This window comes from Homo sapiens, chromosome 9, assembly GCF_000001405.40.
Source record: "Homo sapiens chromosome 9, GRCh38.p14 Primary Assembly".
NCBI classification, from domain to species: domain Eukaryota; kingdom Metazoa; phylum Chordata; class Mammalia; order Primates; family Hominidae; genus Homo; species Homo sapiens.
The window spans coordinates 96,925,938-96,947,084 of NC_000009.12; the positions used below are offsets into that span (position 1 = coordinate 96,925,938).

Sequence of the window (21,147 nt, forward strand, 5' to 3'; positions counted from 1 at the left end):
GTGGCCCAGGACTTTCTGTGGGCATGCTCAGAGAGCAGGGGCCAGAGGACTTTTAGCCACCACCTTCTATGGCCAGTCTTCACAAATTACCTTTGGCTAATTTGATTGTCTCTCCTCCTGGGGTCTAGGACTTCAAACACATACAGAAGCGATTGCAGAATTGAAACAAGACACTTCCACAATATACTTTTTGTATCAGTGGCTCAGAAAAAGACTCATTCAAATCCTGTATCAAAGCCATGTGTGAGCATCTTGAGAAAGCATTGACTGACTAACTTGACAAGGGAGGAAGCAAACAAGAATTCTGCCCTTCTTCAGTGCCTGAGTGTGATATTTTGCCTCAACATCCCTCTTAGATGAAGTTACTGATTGAAAATCATTTAAGTTTTTGCCCCGTGATAAAAGATCGCGTCCTCAGAAAGATCTCCAAAGCATTTACTGTTTGTTTGGTTTGGTTTTGGTAAGTTTACCATGATTTTGCTTGAATTGCTCTCCGTTGATCTTCTCAGCTAAGATCGAGGTAGAGTTGCACAGCAGAAGAGGGCTGCATGTAAGGAGGCAGCTCTGTCTCGGAGGACAAAAGGCCTGGGAGCATCCAGACAGGCAGTCACTGTGTGGAGGACACTCCCCTCCCAGTGGCCACTGTGGAGGCATTTCATAGAAATGCTCGCTGGACCATTCAGTTTTAGAGTTGGGACAAAACCGAGAACTCATGAGGATATTGGATAGGAGTTAGGAAATGACTTTTTCCCACAACCCAGGCAAGGAGGGGAGAACCCTGGGCTTGAGACTTGCAATCCACTGCCTGCCCCTGCAGTGTGGCCTGTTACGTTTTCTGCAACTCTGCCTTCTTGAGTCCAAATGTCTTCGAAAGGGGCAAATGCTTCTTAAGTGCCAACAGGGTGTGTTTCAGTGAATGTTCACAGTGTGCACTGGTCCGGCTGAAGGCCTCTTCCCTTCCCCAACACCCACCCATCAGTGCAAAAGACTGCTGCCCAGCAGGGAGTGACATCTGTGTCTCAGATTTTCTTGCTGTGCTCTGAGTACTCACTCCTCATCTCCTTTGGCCAGTTTCCTAACACTCCCCTTGTTCACAACACAGAACATGAGTGCTCTTTCCTGTCATTCTGACGCTGATAAACAGCAATTCTGTGTGAAAATGAGAATGAAGATTTTTTTAAAGACAGGCTACAATAATTCCCATGCTGAGAACCACATGTGATGACACTTGTGATGAAGATGAGGACAGCAATGAGCTGAGAGACTCCAGCCAGGATTCACACATGCGAGGGGATGCATGAGAATGGGGATGGGACATTGGTGGTTAGCATCCTTGCTTGTCTCAGAATGGACGTGGGTTGTGGATTTCTAACTCCTGGAGAAACCAGAGTTCTAGGAATTGTAAGCCACTTTATGTTAGGAAAGAAAAAGACGGTGTTCTGCTCTCCTGTCCCTTAAAACTGTGCGTACTGCCACTAAACCTGGAAGCTGAGAACAGTATAATGGCTACTCCTGACTTCCTTTCATCAAATCAGCCTGCTATTGTTTTCTGCAATGGTTGTGGTGCAGAATCTTTTTGTGGTGCAGCCAAGATTCACACTTGAGTCTCCTTACTGCAAGTTTGCACTCTCACAGTGGAGAGTTAACAATAATTGCCTAATATGTTACACTTTTTTGGGAAGAGTTACCAGATAAAGTGCAAGATCCCAGTGAAATGTGAATAGCACAGATAAAGGACAGATTTTTTTTGTAAAAGTGTACTGTAAATGTCATATGGATCATAATTATAGTAAAAACTAATTCACTGTTTATCTTCAATTCAAATTCCACTTGGTATTCTTTATTCATACTTGCTAAATCTGGCCACTATGTTCTTTCATGTATTTTTAATTTTAAAAAACAGTCCAACATCTCATTCTAGCAATTTACCTACAGAAATAAAGAGAGGAACCACATTACTGGGACAAATACAGTCACTGCAAATATCAGAAGAATACTAGAACATATTAATATATTAATTTTTACCCCCAAAAAACTGAAAATATTTTTAGACAGCAAAAATAGCTTCATTATGCTTTTGATTGCATAATATATCTCTGGAAAGATGAAAAAGAATCAGGTAACACCTATTTCCTCCAGGAAAGAAAATGTGGTGGCCAGAGAAAAGAGGTGGGAGGAAGGCTGGTCATTGCCTATTCCACTGTGCACAATTTGAATTTGGAACCATGCAAAAGTATTGCTTAGTTAAGTTAAAATCATGTAAAAGATACAAAATAAACATTTAACACCAGCACAATATGCTGGGAAACAAAATGAAAGGATTTCTGGTCTCGGTGCTGTAGGTCACATAGCCACTCTTTCCTGGACTGAGTCTTCCTAAGAAAGGGGACGGGAAGTAAGGCTGGCCTACTGGTGTGGACAGATTCCAGCAACATACATGACCTGGGGGCACAAGGACTGCTTCCTAAACAATGATGAGCACACAGCCACCTAATAGCCTGGATCAGCTGAGGCCATTCTGATTTCAAACACTCAGTCCCCTTGCCTTCCTAAGAACCCCTGTGTTTCTCAGACTGAAAACGTGTTCTGAATTTTGTTAAGTAAGTGTGGCCCCTGTTGAAATTCATCAAGAGTGGGAAAGAGCCAAAGTGGGAAGGAGCATGGGTTGATTGGCACAAAAGTAGGTCTGTTGATAAAGAATGGAAGTAAAGGGGACATCAGGTAGAAGCTTTTGCTGTGAGTCAGAAGGACAATTTAAAAGTTGCCTAAAGAGGCGCACACTGTCTGTGTTGCTGCCATCCAGTTGGATGGCAACCAACTGAACCAAGGGAACCTCAGGTTCTTGCCTACTGGCCAGAGCCCTTCACAGAATGTCCCCCACCCCCGCCAAGCCCGGCTGCCCACTGCCCCTCCCCCTCTGCAGAATGTCTGGGGTCCTGTGTTCCAAACCTGTTTATATGCAAATTATCCCTGCTCCACTTGGACTCAGGAGGATCTGCTGAGTCAGGTCACTCTCTGGGTCCTGCCCTTGACTTTTTTCATTGCGGAAGCTGCCAGACAGTGGTGGTCAGTGCCCAGCCTGAGGGGATGGCTTCAAATGGAGGTGAGCCTGTAGGGATGGGGCATTATCCTAGTCTGCCTTGCCTCAACTCCTTGGGAATTCAAATTTGAACTGTCCCTGGGGACAGCTTATAGGGCTGATGTTGAGGGAGCACTGGATGTCCCCAAGGACATCACACCTGGGGATGGCCATGGCACCCTGAGTCTGTGGTTAGGGAGGAGGGCTCCTTAGAGGCGGACCAAGATGCCTGGGGGAATACACCGTGTAGTGGAAAGGATGGAGAGGATGGCTTGATCCTTTCTAGAGGGGGACAGGTCACGTCATTGTGTTTGTAGGGAGTGGTGGGATCGTGTTGTGCTGGTGGCCCAGGGAGAATGACGGGCAAGCCTGAGCCCTGTGCCGTGTCTTCAGGCACCTGGAAGGTGCCCTTCCATAGTGTTTAGAGGGATTTGGACTGGAGTTTTCTAGTTCTTAGAGAGGAGTGGGGAGAAGTGGTCTCAGCCAGAAAACTGTTGGGTGGGTTGGCTGTGACAGAGCATGTAGTGACAGCCTCTGGGTGGGCAAGGCTGGGGGCCACTGTAACTGCCACAGCCCAGAGCCTCTCAGCTTCCTCCCCAGAGATGGCTTCTCCGTCAGTTCAGGTAGCTGTTGGCTTTGATTTAACAGGGGTGGGGGCAGAATGGGGAAGTTCAGGCAACACAGGGCCTGGGTTTCCTGAGTTGTTCTGAATTGTTTGCCCTTTGGTGGAAGCTCAGGTCTTCAGACCCACTTCCTCTCGTCAGCTAGCTCGTGGCCCGTCCTCTGTACTTTGTGTTACTGTGGAGGTGAAGAATTTGCTCCTGTTCCATTTATACTACCTCATGAACGGGCGACAGGTGTGGATTCTTGCTGGTTCTCAGTGGAAGGCTCTGAAAAGGCTGGTTTCCTTTTCAGTAGAGGAAGGAGAGTAGCGCACAAATAGGAAGACAGTCCTATTATTATTATTATTCAAACTAGGATGTGTGTCCTGACTGATGAGGTGCATGCGCTGTATCCCTTATTCCCCTTGGCTAGAGACTGCATGAGGTCCTAGTGAACAGGGATGAGTTCCAGACAACTCTGCCTCACCTGGCCTGTGGCCCAAGAACCCCTGGTTCTTCGTTGGTCCCTATGTTCAGTTACTGGGAGCTCAAAGGAGAAGGACCAGAGATGGGCTCCCTGTCCCACTATTTAGTGTAACATGACTAGCAGCTGTGAAAATCCCTGGCCGGGCGCGGTGGCTCACGCCTGTAATCCCAGCACTTTGGGAGACCAAGGCATGTGGATCACGAGGTCAAGGAGTTCAAGACCAGCCTGACCAATATGGTGAAACCCCGTCTCTACTAAAAATACAAAAATTGGCTGGGCATGGTGGCGGGAGCCTGTAATCCCAGCTACTCAGGAGGCTGAGGCAGGAGAAGTGCTTGAACCTGGGAGGCAGAGGTTGCAGTGAGCTGAGATCGCACCACTGCACTCCAGCCTGGGTGACAGAGCGAGACTCCGTCTCAAAAAAAAAAAAAAAGAAAAAAAAGAAAATCCCTAGACACCTCCCCTGATAGCCCTGCTGCTCACCATTTGCTGGCTGTGTTCTAGTCATGTGCAGCTGTTGCTGGCTACACAATGACAATATCTCAGGGGACTCCACCACTGCTTCTCAGATCTGCTCCCTGGGAACTGAGCTTCCTGAGTGGCAGCTGGGACCACTGAGCACTGAGGAATGGGTGGCCTGAATCTGACCCCTATTTAACACTTGTGTGGGTGGTGCCAGGACAATCACTTGCATGCTGGGCGTTATGTGTTATGGGTTATCTTCAGGGTTCCTAGGGCGCTGGCTTGGGCGAGTTTCCATCCAGTGGTTTTTTTTTTTTTTTTTTTTTTTTTTTTTTTTTTTTTTTTGAGACGGAGTCTCGCTCTGTCACCCGGGCTGGAATGAAGTGGCACGATCTCGGCTCACTGCAGCCTCTGCCTCCTCGGTTCAAGCAATTCTCCTGTCTCAGCCTCCTGAGTAGCTGCGATTACAGGCACGCATCATCAGCTAATTTTTGTATTTTAGTAGAGATGGGGTTTCACCACGTTGGCCAGACTGGTCTTCAACTCCTGACCTCAGGTGATCCACCCGCCTGGGCCTCCCAAAGTGCTGGGATGACAGGCATGAACCAGCATGCCCGGCCTATCCAGTGGTTTTCTTTTGTTGTGTTGAGCTAGGAAAGAAAGGGGTTTACAAGAGCTTCAGGGAAAGGAAGACTGAAGAGGAGATGGGGCCATAATATTCGGAAACTTCTGGTTTCCTGTCGGCCTTCTGAATGCCGAGCACTGCCCTGGGGTAGGCCCCTCACCTGCTGCTGAGCACACTGAGAGCCACCAAGCCACCGAGAGACTCATCCCTGACCCACGGCTTGGGAGATGCCTGTGAGGCTGGTGCAGTCTGCCAGGGACACCCGAGGGAGACCCTCAGAGACAGCAAAGGCTTGGCTGTTTCTTCTTGGCAGACAAGGGTCAGGGAGTCTTGGTGACTGGCGCCAGGCTCTCTAGTGGAGCGACTCTGCCGTGGAGGAACAGAGCATCTGATGCACACTCAGGGACACTTGCAAGCTGCAGAGTTTCCCTGTCACATGCCCTCAGCTGTTGGGACTCCCCTGATTCCCCAGTGACTAGAGTGGACCTGGAGACGCCAGCTCATTCACCTCTTTCCTTTGTCTCCACAGCATACCCAGTGCTGGGACCCGGCGTGACCGTGAACCCTGGCACCTCCCTGTCTGTGTTCACGGCTCTGCCCTTTGCCACACCCTCTCCCGGCCCAACACACAGGCCGCCCCTCGTGACTGCAGTGGTTCCTCCAGCCGGCCCTCTGGTGCTCTCTGCCTTCCCCAGCACCCCTCTAGTGGCAGGACAGGATGGCCGCGGCCCAAGTGGGGCTGGGGCTTCCAACGTCTTTGTCCAGATGAGGACAGAAGTGGGGCCTGTGAAGCCCCCTCAGGCACAGACCTTGATCCTAACTCAGGCCCCCCTCGTCTGGCAGGCTCCAGGCACCCTCTGTGGAGGTGTCATGTGTCCACCTCCCCTACTCCTGGCAGCTGCTCCTGGGGTGCCCGTTACCTCTGCCCAGGTGGTTGGGGGCACCCAGGCCTGTGAGGGAGGCTGGTCCCATGGCCTTCCTCTTCCACCACCACCACCGGCTGCCCAGGTGGCCCCCATCGTGTCCCCAGGGAACGCTGGGCCATGGCCACAAGGGGCTCATGGAGAGGGCAGCCTGGCTCCCTCCCAGGCCAAGGCCCGGCCGGACGACTCCTGTAAACCCAAGAGTGTCTATGAGAACTTCCGACTCTGGCAGCACTACAAGCCCCTGGCCCGGAGGCACCTTCCCCAGAGTCCTGACACTGAAGCGCTTTCCTGCTTCCTCATGTGAGTGTCCTCGGGGCGCCGGAGCTTGTCCTGCAGCTCACTCATAAAGAGGCTGCTGGATGGACAGGAGGTCACACTGTTCAGGGGAGCTTGCAGGGCGGTTGTGAGGGTGATGGGTTGTGCTATGGGAAGGTACATTTTCAGCAACATTAATCTGGCTGTGGCTCAGGACAGACTGTCAGGGGCCTCATGTCAACTGCCTGTCACTGTCCCGTGAGTCCAGCCAATCCTTAATTTTTTTTTTTTTTTTTGAGATGGACTTTCACTCTTGTTGCCCAGGCTGGAGTGCAATGGCGCGATCTCAGCTCATCACAACCTCCGCCTCCTGGGTTCAAGTGATTCTGCTGCCTCAGCTTCCTGAGTAGTTGGGATTACAGGCATGTGCCACCATGCCTGGCTAATTTTGTATTCGTAGAGATGGGGTTTCTCCATGTTGGTCAGGCTGGTCTTGAACTCCCGACCTCAGTTGATCTGCCCGCCTCAGCCTCTCAAAGTGCTGAGATTACAGGCATGAGCCATCATGCCCCGCCCCAATACTTACTTTCTTTTCTTTTCTTTTCTTTTTTTTTTTTTTTTTGAGATGGAGTCTCACTCTGTCGCCCAGGGTGGAGAGCAGTGGCGTGATCTCGGCTCACTGCAAGCTCTACCTCCCAGGTTCACGTCATTCTCCTGCCTCAGGCTCCCGAGTAGCTGGGACTACAGGTGCCCGCCACCATGCCCGGCTAATTTTTTTGTATTTTTAGTAGAGACGGGGTTTCACCATGTTAGCCAGGATGCTCTCAATCTCCTGCCCTGGTGATTCTCCCGCCTCGGCCTCCCAAAGTGCTGCGATTGCAGGCATGACCCACCGTGCCCGGCTTTTACTTTCAATAATTTTCACAACCATGTTTACAGAAGACCCAGGTCAGAGAGGGTTCTTGGTGTGACGTGAGCCACGGTTTGGGTTTAGGTCTTTTTTGTTTGTTTGTTTGAGATGGAGTCTCGCACTGTCACCCAGGCTGGAGTGCAATGGTGCGATCTTGGCTCACCGCAACCTCTGCCTCCTGGGTTCAAGCAATTCTCCTGCCTCAGCCTCCCAAGTACCTGGGATTACAGGTGCCCGCCACCATGCCCGGCTAATTTTTTTGTATTTTTTAGTAGAGACGGGGTTTCACTATGTTAAGCAGGCTGGTCTTGAACTCCTGGCCTTGTGATCCACCCGCCTCAGCCTCCCAAAGTGCTGGGATTGCAGACGTGAGCCACCGCACCCACCCTGGGTTTAGGTCTTTGAGTGTACACCCCAGTGCCTTCCCTCGAACTGAGTGTCAATGGCCAGGGGCACATCACATGGGGCTGGGGGGAGGAGCTGCAGGGCCCAGCAGAAACCTGGCACACACCCACTCTTCTGCCGCGGTCCAGTTAGCACAGCGGTGGTGGAGCCTGCACAGGGGGATGGTCTTGGGACCCGCACTAGGGTCGATGCTGGGCAGGTATTAGCATCTTCACCGTCAATCCCCCCTAGAAAAAAGGACAATGGTGCTTCATTCAGAGGATGGCAAAGAGATGACTTGAACTCACATATGACATACGTAGCACAGTGCCTGGCACATACTATGACACATTACATGACAGCAATTAGGATTACTGTCCCCATTACTACCATTATCAGGACTAGGCCATCTAGGAGAGTGCTCCCCAAAGCCACGGGCTCCAGTGATAGCTCTGAGTGCACCACGAGCCCAGCAGCCCAGAGCCGTGGACTGTGGTGACTGTGAGGCAGCAACATCAGCATCTGGGAGAGTTTGTGGTTTCATTCCCAGTCCCTGCCTCTCTCCACCCCACGGCACCTCTGTGACCCTTTGTTTCCCGCTGATGAGCAAACAGGAGCTTGAGCATATCCACCGTGCAACACACTGGCCGTTCCCCTAGGGGAGTCCCCTGCCTGGGGTGTAGGTGAAGGCGGTCCCGTCTTCCTCCCCAACAGTCTCGCTGCCCCCACACCCTGGAACTGGTTGCATCCCCCCTTGGAGCGGAGTCCCGGTGCACTGGGGACCCTGATTCTTGGAGTGTAGCCGCCCCGGGCTCACAGGCCTTTGCCTTGGCTCCTGTGGGAATGTGGGAAGCTGTGCCTGGCTGCTTGCAGTGGCTTGGACACCGCTCTGCTTTGGTTCTGGACATGTGCTCCTGCTCCTCAAGCTCCAGGACCCTGAGGCTGTGTCCCCAGGGGCTGCCTTGCTCCAGAGTCCCCAGGAAGCTGGTTAAATGCTCAGTCCTGTGGCCCAGGAACCTGCACTTTAACCCTCGCTCCCAGGTCATTCTGTGTGCATGGTGTCTCAGTCAGCTCAGGCTCTGCCGTAACGAATCCCATAGACTGGGTGCTTTATCAAGACACATTCATGTCTCCCAGTTCCAGAGGCCAGAAGTCCCAGATCAAGGTGACAGCGGATTGGGTGTCTGGTCAGGGCCCTCTTCCTGGCTGGAGAGAGCTGCCTCTGGCTGTGTGCTCTTGTGGCTGAGAGCAAGAGCCCTGGTGTCTCCTCCTGCCCTTATCAGAGCTCGGATTCCATGACTGGGACCCACGCTCATGACCTGCTCTAACCCTGATTGCCTCCAAATACTGACACACTGGCACTGAGGGCTTCAACACAGGAATGTTGGGGACACACATGTTCCACCCATAGCACTGAGTTCACTTGTCAACATCATAACACCGAGGACTTGAGGGGCAGTCGGAGAGGCCACTCAGTGGCTTCTGTTGATGTTGGATCTTGGGGGTGTGTCCTGGAGGCTGAGGAGCCCACATGGGGGAGAACAGGACAGGGACAGATGGCAGGACAGGTGTGGGGAGGACAGGAGCCAGGTGTTGGGACCAGGTGGGCCCGGGATGGAGGGTGGGCTTACAGACTGGGACTGACTGCACTGGTTTACAGCCCAGTTCTCCGATCCCTGGCCCGGCGGAAGCCCACCATGACGCTGGAGGAGGGACTGTGGCGGGCCATGCGGGAATGGCAGCACACGAGCAACTTTGACCGGATGATTTTCTACGAGATGGCGGCAAAGTGAGTCTGGGGTCCTGGGGGCAGGGCCCGTGTGGCGGGGTGAGAGTGAATGACAGAGGCCCGGTGGCCGTGGTGGCTTCTCAGCGTGGAGCATGAGGAGGGTGTGGACAAACACAGGACGCCCTGGGCCCCTGGCTCCCTCAGGAAGCTGCTCCTGCCACCTAGAGTGCTCTGGGGTCTCTGTCCCGCCCTCTTGGGAAGCACCCCCTGCCTGGCCTGGGGCCAACCGCTGCCTTGACACTGGGGGTCATGGCGGGAGCAGCCAGCATCGCAGCCCAAAGGGGGTCTCCTCCAGCTGTGGGGATGGGAAGAAGGGGCGCTAGTGACTAAAGACAGAGTGGGGGGCAGGCTCCTCACAGCAGTGGCCGGAAGTCGGTTTTCTCCCATCCCAGCCTGGCCAGGGAGTTGGGTCAGGGGAGACCTGTACCTGGGACACCATGAGACCCCTCTCTGGCCTGACTGCCTTTGCTCCTGGGCAGAACCGTCCGTGAAGACAGACAGACAGCAGCCTCAGGGGAAACGGGCCCTGTCCTCTGGGCTCAGCTTTTGCTTCCTCCTGACCAGGGGTCTCCCGGGCCTCGTGTCCCTGGGTTATCCTTCAGGGGCCCACAGTCCCAGCCTCAGGACTCCTGCATCTGGGCATCATCCCTGACGCCTTCTGCCATCAACCCCACCCCCGGCCAGCTGATACCTGGAGGAGGGGTTCCCGGGACCCTCCTGGACCTCGTGGCCCTGACTTGAGTCAGGAAGCCCCATTGATGCCATGGGCTCTGCAGGGGCCGGGTGAGGGAGGGTGAGCCCAGAACTCTGGGAGCAGCTCCCTCCTGGGACTGGGGGATGGGTCCCAGTGAGGGCCTAGACAGCCCGCCGGAGGCACTCCCTCCCATCCCTGCCCTCGGCTGCTGCCTGGTCCTGGGGGGAGGGGGCCTGGACCCTCTCAGCACAGCCTGGGCCTCCTTCACCCCCAGGTTCCTGGAGTTTGAGGCTGAGGAGGAGATGCAGATTCAGAAATCGCAGTGGATGAAGGGGCCCCAGAGCCTGCCTCCTCCAGCCCCGCCGAGGCTTGAACCTCGAGGACCCCCTGCCCCTGAGGTGGTCAAGCAGCCAGGTACAGCTTCCCACATTCCCACAGGAGCCATGGCAAAGGCCAAAGGGGCCAAGGGAGGCCACTGTCCCCACATCCCATGCTTCCCTTCAAGAGGGGGATTTGCTCCCTCCAACAGGACAGCTTCCGGGACTGTATGTTGGGTATTGACCAGGTCAATACCTACTTCATGGGTGGCCCGTGATCACGAAGCAGGGTATTGACCGGGCCAAGTTTCCTACTTTCTCTCTCCCCTTGCCTGTCCAAAACTCCACATATGCTCTGCCCAGGAAGCAGAGATGAGCCGGGAGAGTACACGGCATATCGGTGGCTCCAAACTTCCTCCCAAGCGATGCTGTCTCAGATGTGCCCCTCCTGCGGCGTCTCCTCCGGGGCGCTGTGGTTCAGGTGGTCCTGACCCAGCTGGGACCCACTTCACATCCCCAAGCCCTGCCCTCCCCTGTGTGGTGCAGGCAGGAGGAGCGGCCCTCACCACACCCATCCTCCTCCCTCTCTGCCTCAGTGTACCTTCCCAGCAAGGATGGCCCCAAGGCCCCGACTGCCTGCCTGCCACCACCCAGGCCCCAGAGGCCAGCGGAGACCAAGGCCCACCTGCCACCACCCAGGCCCCCGAGGCCAGCAGAGACCAAGGTCCCTGAGGAGATCCCCCCTGAAGTGGTGCAGGAGTATGTGGACATCATGGAGGAGCTGCTGGGGTCTCACCCTGGGGACACAGGGGAGCCTGAGGGACAACGGGAAAAGGGCAAAGTGGAGCAGCCGCAGGAAGAGGACGGGATGACCTCAGACCCGGGCCTCCTGAGCTACATTGACAAGCTGTGTTCCCAGGAAGACTTTGTCACCAAGGTGGGCTTGCCTGGAGTGCTGTGGTCTGTAGGATTCCAGGGGGTGGCACTTCCAGGTCCTTGGAATTAAGCTCTGTTCCTTAGCTACTCAGTAGTATGTGTATTTCCATGGATTTGAGTGTCTGTGTATGTGACTGTGTGTGTCTGTGTGTTGCTGTGTGTTTGTGTCTGTGATTTGTTACTGTGTCTTTGTGTGTCTGTGTGGGTGTGGGTGTGAGTCTGGAGTGTGTATGTTACCTGTGTCTGTCTTTTCCTGTGTTGTACATGGGTCTGTGTGTCTGTGTGTGGTTTGTGTGTCTCTGTATGTGTGTATGCTATGAGGTCTGTGGTCTGTGCGTGTAGCTGGTGGTCGCCATGATATGAAACAGCCCCAGGAGGGTGGGAATGGGGCCCTCCCTGCTTTCTGCATCTCCTCCGGGTGTCCTTGGCTCCAGGTTACTCCCTCCCCAGGAAGTTCACACCTTCTTCCTTCTGTTTCCAGGTGGAGGCCGTCATTCACCCCCGATTCCTGGAAGAATTGCTTTCCCCAGATCCACAGATGGATTTCTTGGCCCTAAGCCAGGAGCTGGAGCAGGAGGAAGGACTCACCCTTGCCCAGGTAGAGCAGCAGAGGGAGGGGAACCCAGGTACTCCAGGGGCAGGAGGGACCCGGCACACAAGGCCCACCCGACTGTCTAAGCCCACCCTGCTGGGGATGTTCAGCTTCTTGGGGAGCCACTCCGGGGTGGGAAGATGCAGGTTCAGAGGGAGTAGGATGGAGAGGAGCCAGGGAGGGGAGTCAGGATGCAAGCTGCAGTGAGGCCCAACGGGATGCCCGGCAGAGCCACACCCTCTCTCTTTGACATGAAGCCCAGCTGCCTCAGGCTTCCCTGCCTCCCACCCAAGTGCCCTGGTCTCCACCATTCTGGGCCCTGCTCACACCTGGGGCAGCGCCAGTAAGTGCCCCCTTTCCTTCCGCAGCTAGTGGAGAAGCGCCTCCTGTCCTTGAAGGAGAAAGGGTGCGGGAGGGCAGCCCCTCGACATGGCACGGCCAGGTTGGACTCAAGTCCTTCTGAGTTTGCAGCTGGCCAAGAAGCAGCGAGAGAGGTCCCTGACCCCCAACAAAGGGTCAGCGTGGAAACCTCCCCACCCCAGACGGCTGCCCAGGACCCTCAGGGACAGGGCAGAGTGCGCACTGGCATGGCCAGGTCCGAAGACCCTGCTGTGCTTTTGGGATGTCAGGACTCCCCCAGGCTGAAGGCTGTCCGGCCAACCTCTCCTCCCCAGGACCACAGACCCACCTGCCCCGGCCTGGGGACCAAGGACGCCTTGGGTCTCCCTGGAGAGTCTCCTGTCAAGGAGTCACATGGGCTGGCTAAGGGGTCAAGTGAGGAGACGGAACTCCCTGGCATGGTCTATGTCGTGGGTTCCCACCACAGGCTGAGGCCCTGGAGGCTGTCCCAGAGCCCTGTCCCTTCCTCGGGCCTTCTCAGCCCAGGAGGGAGAGGACCCCAGGGAGCTCTTCAATCTCCATCTGCTCAGAAAAGAGGCCTCAGCCCATCACCTTCTCCTGCCAGCAAGTCCAAGAAGCGACCTCTCTTTGGAAGCCCATCCCCTGCTGAAAAGACACCGCACCCAGGGCCTGGGCTCAGGGTCTCTGGGGAGCAATCCCTGGCTTGGGGGCTGGGTGGCCCCTCACAGTCTCAAAAGAGAAAGGGTGACCCCTTGGCCTCCAGGAGGAAGAAGAAGCGGCATTGTAGCCAGTAGGGGCCGCCATGGGGCAGACTCTCTGATGCCAGTCCCCAAAAGTGGGGCTCTGAAGTCTCGGACCCTCATGGCACCCGGTGCCCCAAAGCAAAGGCTGCTTCTCCTCCAGTGCTGATCTTGCTGGGCCTTAGCTTTGGAGGGTAGGGGAAGGAGGGGAGGGAGAAGGTGGCTGAACGGGGAGGGCAGGAAGGGAGGGCCTGGGGGGTGGGAAGCAGTGCCTTGGGGGCCTTGTGTGTAAATGTGAATAAATGTAGTTGTTTTGGAAAATGCTCTCAGGGCTGCTGCCTCTGCCCTTGGCGTTGTGCTGCTTTGTGGAGGGTGTCTGTGAGGCCTCAGGGCTGAGGAACTGGGAGAGGCCAGGCACTGGGAACCCACAGGGGCTGGCCCCACTCTTTTCTCCTGTTATAGGGGGCCCCTTCAGATGCTCTGGGGACTGACAGATGCTGAGGAAGCCCTGATCCCTCCCACCATCCACTCACAAGGCCCCGCCTGCTTTAGGGAGGCTTCTCGGGGCCTCCCATCATTATCAGTATCCCTGGAAAATCCTGGGATGGAGAGAGCTGGCTGGCTTTTTTTCTGCTCGGTGGGAGCTGAGGAGAAGGCAGCTGCCTGCAACATGGACATGGGGAGAGGCGGCTGCTCCTGCTTAACCCTCATCAGGAAGAGCACGGGCACTGGGCTGAGGGGAGACGTTGAGGTGACCGTCCACATGGGTGTGTTTGGGATATGATGAGGGGCGCAGAGCAGGGGCCTGTTTCTGGGCAGGAGAGAGTCTTGTCCAACTGGCTGAAGCAGATGCTCCTTGCTGTGGCCACATGGAATGGCCTCAGGGGCCCTCAGGGTCTTGCATGGAGCTCCCCCAACAGCTATGATTCCCTTCCCATATGATGACTGAACTCGTGTGGAATTGATGTAGACACAGATTTACATTGGCATCTAAAACAGTTCCCTCCCAACACACCATCACCAACGGGAACAAGCATGACCAGCCTGCCAGGCGCAAGGTGGGTGTGTCTGCTGGTCCCAGGGCCAGGAGAAGCTGGGGCCCAGGCCGAGAGGGGCCGAGGGTCAGTCGCCCTTCTGCCAGGCACAGACCCCAAGGGCAGAGCAGGGGCTGCCTGGGATGTGGCACTGGCTGTCTGGAAGTGCCCTGAGAGTCGGGGGCCAGGTGTTCACTGAAGGGAGACTTCTGGAGTCTATGAGTGAGATGAGGACTGCATCAGGAGAGGGACTGAGGCTGGGGAGGATACTCTGCTTTTTCCCAGGTTGTCCTGTCCTCCCCATCTCTGCTGAACTCCCCTCACCCCATGTGGCCGACCTCTGCCCCCCTTACCCCTAACCCACCTCTCAGAATCTCAGATCCCAGCATGGACAGGACCCAGCACCTGCCCTGGTTCCCTCCTGGCCAACACCTTCTTCTCCACAGTCTGAGTTCTGATTCCTCTCCAGGGCCCTTGTTGGCTCAGGACCGCTGTGACTGCCAGAGCACTGGTCCCAGCACTGCCTGCATGCAGAGCTGTGGTCATGGTGCTGGGAGTTGGCCCAGCAGCAGAAGCTGATGGGGCAAAGCTCTCTGGTATATGGCGGCCTGGTCCCTCTGCCAAGTGACAAAGGGAGCCATGTTTGGGTTCTCTCTGGCCCCATCTGCCCACAGAACACAGCAGTCAGCCAGACAGATGCCTCTCTGCCCCATCCCTTCTGCTGCATGTGGGCAGTGTCGGAGGCCTGCCACCCGCTTTCGCCTTTGGGAAGGAGAGTTTATCTTGGCAGGGCTTCCCCAGCTGAGGGCACAACAGGCCCTTGGGGAAAATGTGGGGAGTGAAGAGTCACTGGTGGGTGATGTGGGCAGCTCCCGTGACTCCTCTACATTCAGGGCCATCCTCAGGAGACAAGGTAACACCTCCCCTTTGCAGGGTTTAGGAATGTTAAGTGAGCCGTGTTTGAAGGGAATGTGGTCCGTACTCTGGCGTGTGTGGGTGCTCAGCCAACTTCCTCACCTAAGTGTGAAAGTGATACCTTGGTTTAGTGACACCTCGGGGCTTCTGCTGGTTTACCCCACTAGCTGTTTCCTGCCCCACTGTCCCTGTCCTTGTTTTGGCTGAGCCATTTCCAAGAGGCAGAACCTATGCTTCCTTCACCTCTGTGTCCCGCCTGAGCCCTACAATCTGCCCCTAAATGGGCACAGTGGGGCTGACTGGGGGACTCTGATGGACTTAACATGTGTCCCCCCCGCCCAGTTCCTGTGGTGAAGCCCTAACTCCTAACGTGATGGTATTTGGAGATGGGGCCTTTGGGAGTTATTCAGGGTTAGAAGAGAACATGAGGGTGGGGCCCTAATGATGGGATTAGGGCCATGGTAAGAAGCAGAGATCCCAGCACTCTCTCTCTCTCCCTGACATGAGGACACAGTGAGAAGGCAGCCGTCTGCAAGCCAGGAAGAGAGCCCTCACCAGAACCTCACCTTGCTGTGACCCTAACGTCAGACTTCCAGCCTCCAGACTGACAAATACATTTTGTTTCTTAATACGCACCGCCTCCCCCACCCACCAAGTCTAGGACACTTTGTCCTAGCAGCCCTATGTGACTAGGACAAGGTCCATCATCTCAGGAACTTCCTTCCTGACTGGTATCTGGAAACTGTATCAGAGCCATGGGAAAGAATGAAGAAAGGCTCGGCTCTTTACGACTGTCAGCACACCTCCACCCCAAGTGCAGTGTATCACACGTGAACCAGTACTGCTGTGGGACACAGTGCAAGGGAATCTGTAAACACCCATGACATCGTCATATCCACACTTGGGGAAGCCAAGCAGCTTGCTCACAGCAGGTGCTGGGGGTATGCTGAGGCTCTCGGTGGGTTTGGCCTCCCTGCTCACGCAGCCAGGTCACTCTCTGGGAGCCAGTGCAGTTGGGGCGGCCCCGGGCAGGTTTGCCTCCAGAAACCACTCCCTTCACCACTGGACGACAGATCCCTGAAGAAGCCATGGCCTCCTGAGAAACTCCATCTGACAATGTGAGCAAGGCCGGCCCCCGTTAGTAAACATGCAGTGCTTTCTGACAGCTACCAGGATGGACTTGCTCCAGGTGGCTGCCCTTTTGTAGCTGCACTTTGATTCTAACTTCAGCATCCCATGATGTCCTTCAGGTCTTGGTGCCCTGGGCAATGTTAGTGAGAGTCACCTGGTTTGGGGGATCTGGGCCAGGCTGCCCCCTCCTGGCCAATCGGCTGATACCCGGCCAGGGCTGCCAGAGTCATTGTCACTGAGTCCCTGACCATTACTGGGTGCAGACTCTCAACAGTGGCCCCCACCCTGGCACATCCCCTGTGAGGGAGCTGATACGCTGGGTTTTACTGAATTCTGAGTTATGATGTCATTGAGCATGCTTTGTCTGCACACTTGTGCCCTTTGAGCTCATTTTAGGCAAATGTATCCGGACTAAGGTTGTATTTACCGATGGTTCATTTTCCGTCCTCATCTCAGTCCTCGGAAGGATGAATTCCACCTCTCAGGCCATGGTCCTTCCTCAGAGTTTCCTTTGTCTTAGTTCATTCCAAAGATCATGTTGTAGGGACGTTTATCACGTATACGGTATTTGCATAAACTGTATGAGCGATTAAAAGATATTCTCTGACATTAAACACAAACAACACAGAAATCTCACGGGTGACGATAGGATCACAAGATTCCTAATAAATGTAAGTGGATGGTTACTCAAGGTAAATCCCTTCATCCCCTTGCCCTTCATTAGAATAGACAGAAACTGACTGTATACAGGCTTTATTTACTCCTTTATAATGTGCCAAAATAAAACCCCAAGGCACAAATCACACAAACCAAGTCATGCCACTGGGACCATCGTGTGTCATCTGAGCTAGCTGGGCCATGCCAACTCCTACTCCATCTTCTGCTTTTCCCTGCATTCCTCACGAATGGGAGCTTCTGTGTGAGCATTCATAAGACATCCTGCATTCACGTCCACTGATGTGTTTTCTTTTTTAAAAAACTATGCACATTTTATTAGGAATGTTTCAACCACATAGAAAACATATAATAGAAACCAATATAGACACCACATAGACGTGGGCCATGTTAACATTCTACCGTTTGCTCATTTTTTAAATAAAACCTTTATGAAGACATTCACATAGCATGCTTTCACTCATTGAAATTGTACAATTTGGGTTTTTCATAGAATTTGCAACCATCACCACATTAAATATATTTATAGAATTTGCAACCATCACTGCATTAAGTCTACTTATAGAAATTGCAAGCATCATCACTATAAACTTTAGAACATTTTTATCACCTCAAAAAGAAAACCCCTAGGCTGGGTGCAGTGGCTCACGCCTGTAATCCCAACACTTTGGGAGGCCGAGGTGAGTGAATCACTTGAGGTGAAGAGTTCGAGACCAGCCTGGCCAACATGGTGAAACCCCGCCTCTACTAAAAATACAAAAATCAGCTGGGCATGGTGGCACACATGTGATCCCAGCTACATGAGAGGCTGAAGCAGGAGAATCGCTTGAACCGGAGAGGCGGAGGTTGCAGTGAGCCAAGATTGTGCCGCTGCACTCCAGCCTGGGTGACAGAGTGAGACTCCATCTCAAAAAATGAAGAAGAAAAAAAACCCCTTGTCCTTTAGCTATCACTCCCTGCCCCCCACCGATCTACATCCTAGGCCTACATAACCACGAACTGACTTTCTATATAGCTTTACATGCTCTGGACTTGCATATGAATGGAATCATACAATGTATGTCTTTCACACCTGTCTTATTTTACTTTAAATATTTCCAAGGTTCATCCATGTTTTTAGCATCTATCATTACATCAAACCTTTTTATTGCTGAATAATATTCCATTGGTGGATATCCTGAAACTTATTCATTCATCAGGTGATGAACATTTGGGTTGTTTTCACTTTTTGGCTACTGTGAATTATATATATATGTAATATATATATAATTACATATATATTATATATATTATATATATAATATATATAAAATAAAGAAAAAGAAAAAAGAAAAAAATATATATATTATATATAAAATAAAAAGAAAATATATATTTTATTTATATATATATATTTTTAAATCCTTTACAGGATATAATTTGCAGAAATAGTCTCCCGTTAAGTATATTCTTACTTCTTAATCTTTAGAAATTTTTCATCTTCCAAAACTAAAGTTCTGTACATATTAAACACTAATCCCACCACCACCACTCCCACTCCCAGCTCTTGGCAACCACTACTGTGATTTTGACTACTTTAAATACTTCATATGAAAAAAAAAAATCTGTCTTTTTGTGATTGGCTTATTTCACTTAGCATAATGTTCTTGAGGTTCACCCATGTTCTATCTAGCATGTGACATGGTTTCCTTCTTTCTGAAGGCTGCTTAGTCTTTATATATATTTACACAAATACACATATATACACCATATTTTATCCTTTCATCCACCAAAGTTATTTCGATTGCTTTTATCTCTTGGCTATTGTGAATAATGCTGCAATAAACATGGGTGTGCAAATATCTTTTTGAGATCCTGCCTTTAATTCTTTAGGTTATATACTGAGAAGTAAGATTGTTGAATAGTATGGTAATTCTATTTTTCGTTTTTAAACAACCTTCATACTATTTTTCATCACTGGGCACAGAGTCTCAAGAGTGGCCACCACCCTAGCACATCCCCTGTGAGGGACCTGATGAGCTGTTTTACTGAATTCTGAGTTATGATGTCATCAAGGATACTTTGTGCACACAACTGTGCCCTTTGAACTTATGTTAGGCAAATGTATTGAGACTAAGGCTGTCCTAATGCTGGTTCATTTCTCATCTTCATCCCAGTCCTCTGAAGGACCAATTCCATCTCTCCTGCCATAGTCCTTCCTTCTAATGTTCTTTGAAATGTATTACTTCATTCCAAAGATCACGACTAGGGACTTGTATTGGATGTATCTGTAGAAGTGTATTTGGGATTAAAAGACATTCTGTGACAGCAAATACAACAGACAAATGCCCAAGATGAATACAGGATCAGTAAGTTCCTAAAACCAGTCCTAAAGGGATTGCTCATGGTAAATTTATCGTCTCTTCCAATCTGTTCATGTGAACATGTTCAAATACAGATTCACTCATTAATGCACAGAAGGAGTCTTGAACGAGTTATGTTACAAGCCAGCTTATACCATGGGATCCTGCATGGGTCATTAGAACCAGCTAGGTGATACCAGGGCATTCTCCATCCTTCTATCCCACTGCCCTTTAATGAACACTAACTCTGGCTTTGTTGGATCCCTGTGTGCTGGCCTAGAAAGTAATGAGCACTGAGGACTCAGAAAATTCCCACTATTTCTGTCTCTGTGAGCTTCTCCAGCGGCCTGAGGGCCATATTTTCAGGGTATTTTTTACTTGCCACTCTACAAGTGCAAAAGACTGACAACCACTACATAAAGTTAATATTTGAAAAGTTTGCTCCAATGATACTTGAACAACCTATACAATGTAACTAAACAAGTGTAATTGAATTTTAATCTAATGTGTCTATAGTATAAGCTTTAATTACATAAAAATGGGAAGGAAAGGAAAGTTCTCAAACATTTGGAAATTGAAGTGCATTCTTCTAAATAGCTCATGAGTTATAATCTTGGGGGAAATTAAAAATAATAAAGACCTAAATATAAATAAAACATATAAAACATGGTAAGATACAGATAAAGCATTGTGAAGAGGGAAATAATCAGCGTTAGAAGCATATATTAGAAAAGAAGAAAAGTCTCACATCAATAATTTAAGCTTTCACCTAAAGAAACCAGAAAAAGAGCAAAATAAAATCAGAGCACGCAGAGGACAGGAAATAATAGGTAAAAGATGAAATCAATAAAATTGAAAAGAGAAAATCAATACAATTTAATTTTTTTTTTTTTTTGAGATGGAGTCTCACCATGCCTAGGCTGGAGTGCAATGGTGTGATCTTGGCTCACTGCAACCTCCGCTTCCTGGGTTCAAGCCATTCTCCTGCCACAGGTAGCTGGGACTACAGGTGCACGCCACCACACCCGGCTAATTTTTGGATTTTTAGAAGAGATGAGGTTTCACCATGTTGGCCAGGCTGGTCTCAAACTTCTGACCTCAAGGGATCCACCTGCTTTGGCCTCCCAGAGTGCTGGGATTACAGGCTTGAGCTACCGCATCTGGCTTAAAATTGTTTTTTAATACAATCAGTAAAATTCATAATCTTCTGATGCTAAAATAATAGAGTAGATTCAAGTTAAGAACGCCAGCAATGTGCGGTGGCTCACGCCTGTAATCCCAGCATTTTGGGAGGCCGAGGCGGGTGGATCACGAGGTCAGGAGATCGAAACCATCCTGGCTGACATGGTGAAACCCCGTTTCTACTAGAAATACAAAAAAAATTAGCCGGACGTGGTAGTGGGCTCCTATAGTCCCAGCTACTCGGGAGGCTGAGGCCAGAGAATGGTATGAACCCAGGACGCTGAGCTTGCAGTGAGCAGAGATCGCGCCACTGCACTCCAGCCTGGGCAACAGAGCGAGACTCCGTCTCAAAAAAAAAAAAAACAAAAAAACAAAAAAATGATGCCAGCAATGAAAGAGGAGATATAACCACAGATCCCGTAGTCATTTAAGAGATAATAAAATAACATACTAACAACTATATGCACACTCATATTAAAAAATATTAAAAACTAACATGGGCCTGGCACGGTGGCTCACGCCTGTAATCCCAGCACTTTGGGAGGCCGAGGTGGGTGGATCACTTGAGGTCGGGAGTTCGAGACCAGCCTGACCAACATGGAGAAACCGTCCCTACTAAAAATACAATATTAGCTGGGTGTGGTGGTGCAAGCCTGTAATCCCAGCTAATCGGGAGACTGAGGCAGGAGAATCGCTTGAACCCAGGAGGC

At 51.7% G+C, this 21,147-nt stretch overlaps 2 protein-coding genes and 1 pseudogene across 6 annotated transcripts in view, besides 5 other annotated features; 1 reads left to right on the forward strand and 2 right to left on the reverse strand.

Moving 5' to 3' along the window:
* The window catches only part of ZNF782 (zinc finger protein 782), a 117,643-nt gene extending 109,774 nt beyond the window's left edge, over positions 1-7,869 (reverse strand). Inside the window, exon 1 of the mRNA XM_047422874.1 lies at positions 7,847-7,869. The gene's annotated coding sequence lies outside the window, so the exon portion shown is untranslated. The remainder of the gene's footprint in view (positions 1-7,846) is intronic.
* Positions 2,906-17,034, forward strand: NUTM2G (NUT family member 2G). Of its 2 annotated transcripts, none has more exons than NM_001045477.4 (7): positions 2,906-3,103; positions 5,785-6,481; positions 9,391-9,519; positions 10,488-10,627; positions 11,127-11,467; positions 11,948-12,064; positions 13,621-17,034. In NM_001045477.4, the coding sequence occupies exons 1-7, from the start codon at positions 3,088-3,090 to the stop codon at positions 13,657-13,659; spliced, it is 1,479 nt and encodes a 492-aa protein (NP_001038942.1). In that variant the 5' UTR covers positions 2,906-3,087; the 3' UTR covers positions 13,660-17,034. The 2 variants fall into 2 exon arrangements, with proteins under 2 accessions (NP_001038942.1, NP_001164212.1); NM_001170741.3 differs by lacking the exon at positions 13,621-17,034 and adding an exon at positions 12,427-13,479.
* Positions 5,000-5,885: an enhancer, noted in NCBI's record as "H3K27ac-H3K4me1 hESC enhancer chr9:99693219-99694104 (GRCh37/hg19 assembly coordinates)". NCBI's record gives its function as "activates a minimal SCP1, AML or CMV promoter by ChIP-STARR-seq in primed H9 embryonic stem cells {active_cell/tissue: H9 hESC(primed)}" and the evidence as "EXISTENCE:reporter gene assay evidence [ECO:0000049][PMID:30033119]".
* Positions 5,886-6,771: an enhancer, noted in NCBI's record as "H3K27ac-H3K4me1 hESC enhancer chr9:99694105-99694990 (GRCh37/hg19 assembly coordinates)". NCBI's record gives its function as "activates a minimal SCP1, AML or CMV promoter by ChIP-STARR-seq in primed H9 embryonic stem cells {active_cell/tissue: H9 hESC(primed)}" and the evidence as "EXISTENCE:reporter gene assay evidence [ECO:0000049][PMID:30033119]".
* Positions 9,750-10,378: an enhancer, noted in NCBI's record as "H3K4me1 hESC enhancer chr9:99697969-99698597 (GRCh37/hg19 assembly coordinates)". NCBI's record gives its function as "activates a minimal SCP1, AML or CMV promoter by ChIP-STARR-seq in naive H9 embryonic stem cells {active_cell/tissue: H9 hESC(naive)}" and the evidence as "EXISTENCE:reporter gene assay evidence [ECO:0000049][PMID:30033119]".
* Positions 10,379-11,007: an enhancer, noted in NCBI's record as "H3K4me1 hESC enhancer chr9:99698598-99699226 (GRCh37/hg19 assembly coordinates)". NCBI's record gives its function as "activates a minimal SCP1, AML or CMV promoter by ChIP-STARR-seq in naive H9 embryonic stem cells {active_cell/tissue: H9 hESC(naive)}" and the evidence as "EXISTENCE:reporter gene assay evidence [ECO:0000049][PMID:30033119]".
* Positions 13,134-13,634: an enhancer, noted in NCBI's record as "H3K4me1 hESC enhancer chr9:99701353-99701853 (GRCh37/hg19 assembly coordinates)". NCBI's record gives its function as "activates a minimal SCP1, AML or CMV promoter by ChIP-STARR-seq in naive H9 embryonic stem cells {active_cell/tissue: H9 hESC(naive)}" and the evidence as "EXISTENCE:reporter gene assay evidence [ECO:0000049][PMID:30033119]".
* SLC71A3P (solute carrier family 71 member 3, pseudogene) overlaps positions 16,976-21,147 on the reverse strand; it is a 70,693-nt pseudogene continuing 66,521 nt past the window's right edge. Inside the window, exon 5 of one of the 3 annotated variants that reach the window (NR_172875.1) lies at positions 16,976-17,217. The product of NR_172875.1 is annotated as a solute carrier family 71 member 3, pseudogene, transcript variant 2 (transcript). Of the gene's footprint in view, positions 18,149-20,107; positions 20,285-21,147 lie in introns of those variants that run through there. The other 2 variants (NR_172876.1, NR_172874.1) reach the window with 2 other exon arrangements.